Source organism: Homo sapiens, chromosome 16 (assembly GCF_000001405.40).
Source record: "Homo sapiens chromosome 16, GRCh38.p14 Primary Assembly".
Classification (NCBI taxonomy): Eukaryota; Metazoa; Chordata; class Mammalia; order Primates; family Hominidae; genus Homo; species Homo sapiens.
This window is the reverse complement of record NC_000016.10, coordinates 21,221,666-21,233,633: the sequence shown is the minus strand read 5'-3', so window position 1 is coordinate 21,233,633 and position 11,968 is coordinate 21,221,666. Positions and strand designations below refer to the sequence as shown.

Genomic DNA, 11,968 nt, shown 5'->3' with positions numbered 1-11,968 from the left:
TCACCAGGGGCAAAGCTCATTTCAACTGCTTCCTTTCACGGAAGGCAACAAGGTTCGAGGCACTGAACTTGGACCTTTTCTCTCTGGAATGGCCATGACGTTGACTATTGAAGACTGCTGTATTCATCTTGAGTGTTTGGAGGTACATTCAATTTTTCTATGTCCATTAGTTTCTTGAGTGTAATATTGGCCATCTAGGCACAGGATGTAAGAAATAATTTCTTAATAAAATGCAGAGCTACTCTAGTTCACTAGCTGTTTTTTCCAAAAAGAACAGCTTTATTGAGGTATAACATCATTAAATTTACCCATTTCATGCATACAATTCAATGATTTTTAGGACATTTATAGAGTTGCATGCCCATTATCATAATCCAGTTTCCATCAGCCCTTAAAGATCCCTCATGCCATTTGCTGTCAATCCCATTTCCACTCCCAACCTCAGGAAACCACAGTCTGCTTTCTGTCTCTATAGATTTGTTTTTTACGGGCATTTCAGACAAATGGAATCCTACAATATATAGTCTTTAGTGTATAGCTTGTTTCAATTCACATACTTTTTTGAGGTTTGTCATGTGTAGCATGTAATGGTTTCTTTCTTTTCACTGCTGAATAATATTCCACTGTGCTAACATACCACATGTTCTTCATCCATTCAATGTTTCATGAATATGATGAATATTTGGGTTGTTTCCATTTTTCAGTAATGATGAATAATGCTGCTATGAGCACTGATGTACAAGTCTCTGTGTGGACACATATTTTCATGTGTCTTGCGTATATATCAAGGAGTGAAACTGCTGGGTTGCATGGCAATTTACATTTAAATTTCAGAAGTTGCCAGACTGTTTTCCAAAGTGGCTGTACTACTTCACATTTCCACCAATAACGTATGAGGGTTTCAATTTCTCCACAACCTTGCCAGCCTTATTATTGCCTATCTTTTTGTTTATGGTCATCCTAGTGGATATGAAGTGGTCTTATTATGGCTTTAATTTTCAATTTCCTAATGACTAAGATATTGAGCATCTTTTCATGTGCCCATTAGCCATTCTTACATCTTCTATTCAAATCTTTTTGCCCAATTTTTAAGTGGTTGTCTTATTAATAAATTATAAGAATTATTTATATACTCTGGATACAAGTCCTATATCAGACATATTTGGAACAGAATGAAAATGAAAATACCACATATCAAGATTTATAGGATGCAGTTAAAGAAAAGCTTAGGGCAAAATTTGTAGTTTTTTATGCATATATGAGAAAGAAAAAAGATCTCAAATCAATAACTTAAACATATTATCAATAACTCAAGGGAAGGAGAAAAAGTATAGAAAAATGACTATAAGGAGTACAATATAAGACCAAAAAATTTCCAGATCTGTAATAAAAACAAAAGAAAATGGACTAAATTTATGATGTGGAAGACTCAGCCATGTCTTGTTTATAATAGACATATCTAAAATATAAAATTGCAGAAAGATTGAAAGCAAAAAATGGAAAAGTTATAGCAAGCAAATACTAACAAAACATTGGTGTACCCACATAGATGGTCTGCAACTTATGAGAGTTTGACCTAATTTTTCAACTTTATGATGGCACAAAAATGACAGGTATTTAGTATGCTTCTCAGCTCACAACTGAGTTATTATATCAACTTATGGTGGTTTTGCATTGTAAGTTGAAGAGCACCCGTATTGGTAGCAAGGAAAAATATAGCTTAAGCCAAAAAAATTTACTAGGCATAAAGAGAGATAATACATGATAATGAAAGGAACAATTAATCAAGAAACTATGATCGTTTTAAACTTGTATAAATTAAATAACACAGCTGCAAAAAAGGGAAAGCAAAAATTAAACAGAAAAAAAAAAACAAAACCACAATCATAAGGGAAGATTTCAGACATCATCATAATGTTCTATATCAGACTAAAGATTGGTATAGCTATAAAATATTTGGGCCGGGCACAGTGGCTCACACCTGTAATCCTAGCACTTTGAGAGGCTGAGGGGGTGCAGATCACGAGGTCAAGAGATTGAGACCATCCTGGCCAATATGGTGAAACCACGTCTCTACTAAAAATACAAAAATTAGCTGGGCATGGTGGCATGTGCCTGTAGTCCCAGCTACTCGGGAGGCTGAGGCAGGAGAGTCGCCTAAACCCGGGAGGCGGAGGTTGCAGTGAGCTGAGATCGCACCATTGCACTCCAGCCTGGTGACAGAGTGAGACTCCATCTCAAAAAAAAAAAAAAAGAAGAAAAACAGATTTGAACACAATTAACAAGCTTGATCTAACAGTCACATGGAGAAAGGACCCTGTGCCCAATAGTAAATGCATGTTTTTTCTAAGCACACAGAATATTTATAAAACCTGACCACTGAATAGAAGCAGTGCAGTTCTCGACAAATAACAAATAACAGGGTTCATGCAAACCGTGTTCTCTGAAGACACTGCAACTAAATTAGAAACCGCCATCCTTACATAACTCATCAACTATGCATATGTTCTCCTGTGGTGTATTTTTTACATTGTTTTCATCAAATACATATAATTTTACATTACATCTTTTCCACTCCTTAATCCATCATAAATATATCCCCATATTGTTACACAATCTTTAATATATTTAGATAATTGTCCACTAAACTGATGTGAGAAATATCTATTTTTGAAGCCTGTAACTGTATATTCCTCTTATCTCTTTTTGTCTAAGTTTTTATTCCAAGATAAATTATTTACCCACTCAGAAAAAGTACAAAGCTTTCATCTACAGTTTCTTCACAATAATAATGAGCTCCAAAGGTCACTGTTTGTTCCTTTTTCTGGCTTCTAGGTGAAGAGCAGTAGAAGCAGCCTGGAGGGCAGCATTATTTAGCTTTTTTTAAACATTGTTTTTAGCCCAGAGAGAGTGACATATCCAAACATGATTATGAATACTGTGAGAAAATGGTAAGGTTCTTCATCAAGTTTTGCATGAGCCACTTTAATTTAGATACAACTGCATTCATTAATGCACTTTGAAATTTAAAAACAGGTCAGGCGAGGTGGCTCACGCCTATAATCCTAGCACTTTGGGAGGCAAAGGTGGGTGAATCACTTGAGGTCGGGAGTTGAAGACCCACTTGGCCAACATGGCAAAACCCCATCTCTACTAAAATACAAAAATTATCTGGGCATGGTGGTGCACACCTGTAAGCCCAGCTACTCATGAGGCTGAGGCAGGAGAATTGATTGAGCCTGGGAGGCTGAGGTTGCAGTGAGCCAAGATCACACCACTGCACTCCAGCCTGGGTGACAGAGTGCAAAAAAAATAAAAAATAAAAATACATATAACCGATAGAGAACTTCTCAAAGATGTATTATTTGTAGTAGAATCCTAAGACTCCAGCCAAAGGGTCTGCTTTCAGAAGATAAGGATGAGGAAGAGGAAGAGAAAGAGAAGAATAGTGGCCACTAGGATGGTCATAAGCCAAATTAGGATGAGGATTGTCAAAGTCAAAATAAAAATTTAGAGCTGAATCTCTAAATTTAATGTTTTATTTGGAAAAAGACTTGCAATTTGGGATACACACATAGACCAGGTGGTCTTCAGTATGTCTGAAGAAGAAAAGAGAAGTTTAGAGGTTTTATTAACAAGAGAAATGTTACATATTGCTCTTCAAGAAAGTTCATTGGCACTAGTAAGGGTTTGGGGAGCTGGCAAGCTCTGATTAGTGGGCAAAATTTGTCCTAGAGTTGCAGCAAGTTATCTCAGCAGCTGTAAATAAAACTGCTCCCGGGTTACAGCAGGCAGTTCCAGCAGTCAGTCTTGCTGAGAATTACGTTCTTGGAGCAATTTTTATTTATTTATTTATTTTTTGTACTCGGAGTGCTTTCTCCCCCAACTCCACCACCCAGCCTCTCAACCCTGATTTAGTTGGGTATAACAAGAATGATGCAATTTGCGTGATTAAGTTTCACAGGATGGAGGCAAAGGGTAAAGAGGACAGAATAATTATAGAGATGGGGAAGAAGGATTGGAGATAGAAGACAAGAAAGAGAAAGAATTTCTCAGTTCCAGCAGTCCTTAGGACTAGAACTTAAAGTCTCCTGTGAAATGGCGAAATAACCAAACTTTCTTAAATGGTAAATATCCTGGCATCCTCTGGCACGCCCTTGGGAAAATTTCCTCCTTGGGAGAAGAATGGGGTGGCAGGGGCAGCGGGGGGTGGGGAAGTGGGGGCAGAGATAAGGATTTAAAACATTTTTCTGAACTTGAAGATCCTCCTTATCCTATCCCTTCAAGGTGAGGTTGGGAAGGAGGGTTGAAGACCTAGCGTTCATATAATCCAGGAAAAGTTACTCCATCTATTTGAGTCTCCATATCCTTGTGGATAAAACTGGGGGATGTTGCTAGTGATCATATCATCATTATCATCAGCATCAACTAACTTTAGTAAAGATGAAGAAATAAAATTTCTTGCAACCCATAAAGCATGTTTTTACAAACTAGAAGTAGTGTGATTGTGGCTTAGGGAACAGACAGAGGAAGTTTTAGCCCAGTAATCATTTTTGAATTCCTCAAAGCCCAAAGGAAACAAAATTGGTGGGAGATGGTAAGGGCAGAAATTAATAAAAAGAGCTAACACGAATTTGCATATAATGTAGACATTAATTCCTTGTGAGGAGTCATGGTAATTGTGGGGGCAGTTGTGGATTTTCTTGACTGTACTGATCTTGTGGAAATTAGTATTTGAGCGTGTTCCATCAGCATACAGCTGGACTCTTGGAAGGCCAGAGAAGAATATTTGCCAGACACACACTGGAGAGACTTTGAGGCTCGGACCTGAGTGGCAGTGACCCCAAGTCAAAGCTCTCATCAACCTTCCTGTTGGAGCCTCGCCATGCTCCTCATATCTCCCCATACTCCTGCACTACTAGTATGTCTCAACTTAGAGAAACATCCTGTCCATGACCTCTGTGTTCCCTTGACTCTGACTGACACTTAGGTTTAGACAGGCAGGTCTTATTTCCTCCTGCACTGTCCTAAAACTCTAGAACCTCAACCTATTATCTGGAACCCCAAGCAGTTGGTTATTTAATGATAAGAAGCCCTTCTCCACAGACACCACTTCTTTTTTGCCAAAGACCCAGAGAAAACATGGTTAATCTGCTTCTAGGGGCAGCACTTGGAGAGATTCTCTCATGAATGGTTCCCCTCCTCCCCCCAGAGCAAGGACATTGTCAGCTTCTCATTGCTGTGTTTATGATTTTGCAGTCTCCCCTAACATCATAACAGCTGACAGTAGCTGACAACTAGGTAGTCTTAAATAGGTGTTCCTTCTACCATGGAGTCCAATCCTGGCCCAGAGGAAGTAGCATTTGGATGAAGAATTTACCTGGAACTCTGACTATCTATAAAACAGAGTCATGTGTGTTCCTTTGCTCAGGGAGAGGAAAAGAAGGGACAGAGATGATGGTAGTTGATACTTCCAGTCTAACTCCAAGAAAAAAACAACACTTGCAAAGTACAAACCAAACTTCTTCCTCATTGTTCTGAAAAACCATTTGCTGCTAATTGGGAAAGAAATTCAATGGCTTGTGCAACCCAGAAACACATATTTTCAGTAATGAGATTGCCCCTGTGTCCTAAGAGATCTGGTTTTCAAAAGCAGCCTGTGTTTGATCTCTAAAGCTATTCATGTCTAATTAGAGAAGAAATTCACTTGTATGGTAGGGAAGCACATTTTTTTTTTTTACATAAGAAGGAAAAAGATCAGAGTAGAACACTGCTTTTAACAAGATTACTTCATCTAATGAGGATCTTATTATGAATTTTAATGAAAATAAAAACAGTAACAAAGTAAGGGAAATTAGAGAGTAATACAAAAGTCCTGTTGTTCCATAGAAAACTTGCAGGAACCAGGCAAGGACAAAAGAAGCCATCAGTAACACACTGCTGTATGCACTGCCCTTGGGTTTATGAGAGACTATCTGTTAAGGTAAAGATGTGCTCAAATATATTATCCAGAAAATGTCACTTACATGTGTATTCTTTTCTCTTTAGCACAATGATACAACTGTTCAACCTATTTGATATGGATTTCTCCTATTCGGAAGAAATTTCAACAACTTCACTTCTAACTTAAACACATTCATCGACTAGCCTGGCCAACATGGTGAAACCCCGTGTCTACTAAAAATACAAAAATTAGCTGGGCGTGGTGGCATATGCCTGTAGTCCCAGCTACTTGGGAGGCTGAGGCAGAAGAATCACTTGAACCTGGGAGGCAGAGGTTGCAGCAAGCCGAGATTGTGCCATTGCACTCCAGCCTGGGCGACAAGAGCAAAACTCCGTCTCAAAAAATAAATAAACAAACACATATAACACTGTCAAAATAAGGAGAAACTTTCTTTCCCACATTGAAAGTCATTGATGTTTTCCTTAAAAGCATTGTATCATGTTTGTATTCTTTAACAATCAAAAAGAATCATTGTCTGCCTTTTTGTTTCTTCTTTTCTAAATGAAAACATTTATAAAAATATTTAAGTGGATAAGTTGCCTATTGAAATTGTAATGTCCCTGAAGTATTGGTTGAGCTTAATTTATTCATATAAGTTTCAAGCCATTCAAAGGCCTATTTTTCTGGCAGAAAACTAAAGACAGAGCTGTTATTGTACCATCTGGTTTGCATGAGGAATCTCTTGGCATCTCTTAACTGCACATTTTATAAATGCTAAATCCCAGATGGCATACATTGTAACAGTGAAGAGTTTTATAAAGGCTTCCAAAAACAAATTCTTTCAAATTTGAATACTGGATAGTCTAAGCAGGGGCTAGGAATTTAAATTCTACACTTGATTAAACTGGCTTTGTTAGCTGAACAAATTTCCCTTTTTTCTTATGTCTTTCCTTCTTCCTAATTATTGGTTCTGTGACTTGAAAATTTCAATCCATGTAATTCTTCTACCAACAGGTCCCCTCTATAACTCAAGTTCTAGAAAAACTGCAGGAACGACAATCATTGGAAAAACCTATGTTAGGTGCCATTTTGTTTCAAAGATGGTAGAATTTACCACAAGGGAGGTGTGTTATAGCATCCATTAGCAGATCATCAAATACCATCAAAACCGTTCAACTCTTACAAAGCTGATGGTTGGATTGGAAAGACAAGCAAATGTAAACTCCAAGCATTGTGTTGAAATAAAGCCAGAGTAGAATAATGATTGAGAACATGGGGTCTGAAGTCAGAGACTGACAGATATTAAGCCCCAGATTGGATCTTCCCATTAAGTTGGGCAAATTACTTCTCCCTAAGCTTTAGTTTCTTCATCAGTAAAATAAAGACAGTACTTTTCTCTTTAAAAGAGAATCATTCACAGGGTTGTTGCAAGTAATTACTGAATATTTGTAAAATACTAAGTACAGTTTATGGTGTGTAGTCAGCACTTAATTAAAGTAAATTAATAGTAGTACTAGCACTAGGAGAAAGAAAGTTTCTCCTTTCTTTAAGTCAATCTATATAAATGCAGCATTTTCTTAAAACTTCTCTTTTCTCTGCATTTTCCTTCTCAATAACAACAGCCGAGACCTAGTTTTGTTTTTTTTTTTTTGTCCTACCCCTTATCATGGTATAATAAAAATAATATATATTTTACAGTCACACAGAATTGAATTTCAATCTGGGGTTTTGTAATAGTTTACTAGGACTTCCATAACAAAGTACCACAGACTGAGTGGCTTAAACAAATTTATTTTCTTACAGTTCTGAAAGCCAGAAATCTGAAATCAAGGTGTGAGCGTGGTTGGTTCCTTTTGAGGGCTGTGAGGAAAGGACCTGTTCCAGGCCTCTCTCCTGGAAAAAGACTTGCAAATGGCCATTTTCTCCTTGTGTCTTCATGTCATCTTCCTCTTCACATGTCTGTGTCCAAATTTTCTCTTCTTATAAGGACACTTGGTCCTTATAAGATGGTCATATTGATTAGAGCACACCCTAATAACTTCATTTAACATCATCACCTCTGTAAAAGCTGTATTAGTCTGTTTTCACACGGCTATAATGAAATACCCGAGACTGGGTAATTTATCAAGGAAAGAGGTTTAATTGACTCACAGTTCCAACATGGCTGGGGAGGCTTCAGGAAACCCAATCCTGGCAAAGGCAAAGGGGAAGCAAGCATCTTCCACACACAGTGGTAGGAGAGAGAATGAAGGAGGAACTTCCAAACACTTATAAAACCATCAAATCTCATAGGAACAAACTCACTATCACTAGAACAGCATGGGGGAAATCACCTCCATGATTCAATCACCTCCCTCCCTCAGCACGTGAGAATTACAATTTGAGATGAGATTTGGATGGGGACACAGAGCCAAACCGTATCAAAGGCTATCTCCAAATACAGTAACATTCTGAGGTGCTGGGAATTAGGACCTCAACATGAATGGTGGGGGAGATATATTTTCAGCCCATAATAGCTTTCTACTACTATCAACTGGAGGAAAATTCACCTCAAGGAGACTTCATTTCATTTTCTTACTCCTATCTGGATTATTTATAAATCAGTGCTTAGCACAAGGTCTATACATTGTGGCCTTGACAAAAACTTTCTTCCCTTCTTCTTAGAAAGACTCATGAACTCACATTGTTTCTGGGAACCACCTACTCTTTCCCAGAACTCTGGATGAAACGTGAACGATGTACATGTGGCTTACAAAACCTGCAGAGGACCAAATGAGGAAGGAGTGGCTTACAGAGCTATGATCAAAGGAGACTTAGCAGGACTCAGCTGTTATTTGAATGGTGGGGGACATTTTATGGAAAAGATGCTTTAAAGATTATACAAAGGTGGCCAGGCATGGTGGCTCACACCTGTAATCCCAGCTCTTTGAGAGGCCGAGGTGGATGTATCACCTGAGGTCAGGGGGTCAAGACCAGCCTGGCCAACATGGTGAAACCCCATCTCTACTAAACATACAAAAATTAGCTGGGTGTGGTGGCACGCACCTGCAGTCCTAGCTACTTGGAGGCTGAGGCAGGAGAATCACTTGAACCCAGGAGACAGAGGTTGCAGTGAGCCAAGGTTGTGCCACTGTACTCCAGCCTGGGCAACAAGAGTGAAACTCTGTCGCAAAAAAATAAAAAAAGATTATACAAAGGTGAGAATCAACTTCTTTAAACACAGGGGAAAAAGTAAAAAGCAGAGATGAGGGGAACCCTGGATTCAATTCCCAGGACTGTCACTAAGTAACTGTAGGACCTAGAGTTATTGTCCCTATCTGCAATCCAGGTTCCTTGCCTCTCATATAAGGAGGTAGCAACCAAATTCTGTATCAGTCAGGTTTCATCAGAGAAGCAGAACCATTCTGAGTGATATAGAATAAAGGGTTTATTGCAGAGATTAAGCTTATACCTGGAAGCCAGGTAAGCTGTCTAGTAAGGCTATTTCTTCTGCACCAGATGTTAGACCCAAAGTCCGTAGGGCCAGCAATTGGGAAGTAAAGATGGAGAGGAAGTAAAGAAAAAGAACAAATTAGAATCTGCAGAGACAAATTGGAACCCCAGAGAATAAAACGAAACCCACGCCTGTCTCTCACCACCCCCAACCTCGACGACACAGGTGTCTACAGGATAAGCTGCCACCTTTCACCATAGACAAAGCTGCAAACGCACCTGGCCTAGGATTCAGAGAAGCTGAAGGGGGAGATCTGGACGGAGTGGGAGGAGCTGCAGGTTCGCCTCCTGCCCCACGCCCACAGGGTGAGCAGCAGCTCAGCCACTATATGCATGGTCTCTCCATGGTTTTGGAAGTTACAGGCTGCTGGTGGATGGGAATAAATATGGCCAGAGATATGTCTTGTTTGGCAGGCACAGGATTTTGAAAATATCTTTAACATTAAATATCAACATTAAAATTGAGGAAATTGAATGGAATCTGGATTTTCAGCTTCCAGATGAGAAACTGAAGATCATGACAATTACCTCTGCCTGAGCTGGGAAGCAGTTCTTTTTTTTCTTTTTTCTTTTTTTTTAAGATGCAGTTTTGCTCTTGTTGCCCAGGCTGGAGTGCAATGGCGCGATCTCAGCTCACTGCAACCTCCGCCTCCTGGGTTCAAGTGATTCTCCTGCCTCAGCCTCCAGAGTACCTGGGATTACAGGCATGCGCCACCATGCCCGGCTAATTTTTTTGTATTTTTAGTAGACAGGAGGTTTCTCCGGGTTGGTCAGGTTAGTCTCGAACTCCCAACCTCAGGGGATCCACCCACCTTGGCCTCCCAAAGTGCTGGGATTACAGGTGTGAGCCGCTGTGCCCAGCCAAAGCAGTTATTTCTTTAGATGCAGCCTGGACTCAACAGTCCACATCACCCCCAGCTGCCCAGAGCTGTAATCCTGACCCTGAGGGCAATAGTTAGTCACTTGCCATTCTCATCACACTAAAGCCATTTCCTTGCACCCAACCGACTTCACTCATGTACAGTATTTGCCTTGCTCCAGTAACCATGTCGAATGGCCTTTTGAGTGTGACAATGTCCTATCATTTCCTCTCACATCAGTTACATCCTAACCCTCCCTCATTTCCTTCTGTGCCAATCAGTCACCAAATACATATTATGCGCCTGTGTGAAAGCTCTTCTAGTCCCCATTTCCAGCATGTCTGGCCAATTCTCAAGCATTAAAAAGGCTGTTCTCTTGGGGATATGGGGATATTTACACCTGCACTCACAGGGTTATAAGACTTAAGCAAACTTGCATATTGCCCAATTGCAGTTGAATTACTGATCAGTAGAAAGAACACACACACACTTGCAGGATAATTTCCCAGGTTAGCCAAGGATACAGAAGTGGCCACGCAGAGCAAAATTAGCTGCTATGTGTTTTAGTAACACTTTATCCTGGTCCCATTGTGGAGAAAAGAGAGATCAGACTGTTACTGTGTCTATGTAGAAAGAAGTAGACATAAGAGACTCCATTTTGTTCTGTACTAAGAAAAATTCTTCTGCCTTGAGATGCTGTTAATCTGTAACCCTACCCCCAACCCTGTGCTCCCAGAAACATGCTGTGTTGACTCAAGGTTTAATGGATTTAGGGCTATGCAGGATGTGCTTTGTTAAACAAATGCTTGAAGGCAGTATGCTTGTTAAAAGTCATCACCACTCCCTAATCTCAAGTACCCAGGGACACAAAACACTGCGGAAGGCCGCAGGGACCTCTGCCTAGGAAAGCCAGGTATTGTCCAAGTTTTCTCCCCATGTGATAGTCTGAAATATGGCCTCGCGGGAAGGGAAAGACCTGACTGTCCCCCAGCCCAACACCCGTAAAGGGTCTGTGCTGAGAAGGATTAGTAAAAGAGGAAGGCCTCTTTGCAGTTGAGATAAGAGAAAGGCACCTGTCTCCTGCTCGTCCCTGGGCAATAGAATGTCTCAGTGTAAAACCGGATTGTATGTTCCATCTACTGAGATAGGAGAAAACTGCCTTAAGGCTGGAGGTGAGACATGCTGGCGGTAATACTGCTCTTTAATGCACCAGATATGTTTCTGTATGTGCACATCAAGGCACAGCACCTTTTCTAACTTTGTTTATGACACAGAGACATTTGTTCACATGTTTTCCTGCTGAACCTCTCCCCACTATTACCCTATTGTCCTGCCACATCCCCCTTTCCGAGATGGTAGAGATAATGATCAATAAATACTAAGGGAACTCAGAGACTGGTGCCGGCATGGTCCTCCGTATGCTGAGCGACGATCCCCTGGGCCCACTTTTCTTTCTCTATACTTTGTCTCTGTGTCTCTTTCTTTTCTTAGTCTCTCATCCCACCCGACAAGAAAACACCCACAGGTTTGGAGGGGCAGGGCACCCCTTCATCCCATAGTGTCATTGCTGTGTGGGCATCTTACACACTCTCTGAACAAGCAGAGTCCTGCCATAGTTAAAAACAGCAGCTTATTTCTTGCTATATCACTGCCCCTTTATATGCAAGCTACT

General features: G+C 40.2%; 1 long non-coding RNA gene across 1 annotated transcript, besides 2 other annotated features; it reads left to right on the top strand.

Moving 5' to 3' along the window:
- Positions 1 to 31: 31 nt before the first annotated feature.
- On the top strand, positions 32 to 6,870 carry LOC105371123 (uncharacterized). The gene is made up of 2 exons (XR_001752344.2): positions 32 to 142; positions 6,049 to 6,870. It is a non-coding gene; the product is annotated as an uncharacterized LOC105371123 (long non-coding RNA).
- Positions 10,425 to 10,950: an enhancer, noted in NCBI's record as "OCT4-NANOG-H3K27ac-H3K4me1 hESC enhancer chr16:21234005-21234530 (GRCh37/hg19 assembly coordinates)". NCBI's record gives its function as "activates a minimal SCP1, AML or CMV promoter by ChIP-STARR-seq in primed H9 embryonic stem cells {active_cell/tissue: H9 hESC(primed)}" and the evidence as "EXISTENCE:reporter gene assay evidence [ECO:0000049][PMID:30033119]".
- Positions 10,951 to 11,475: an enhancer, noted in NCBI's record as "OCT4-NANOG-H3K27ac-H3K4me1 hESC enhancer chr16:21233480-21234004 (GRCh37/hg19 assembly coordinates)". NCBI's record gives its function as "activates a minimal SCP1, AML or CMV promoter by ChIP-STARR-seq in naive and primed H9 embryonic stem cells {active_cell/tissue: H9 hESC(naive and primed)}" and the evidence as "EXISTENCE:reporter gene assay evidence [ECO:0000049][PMID:30033119]".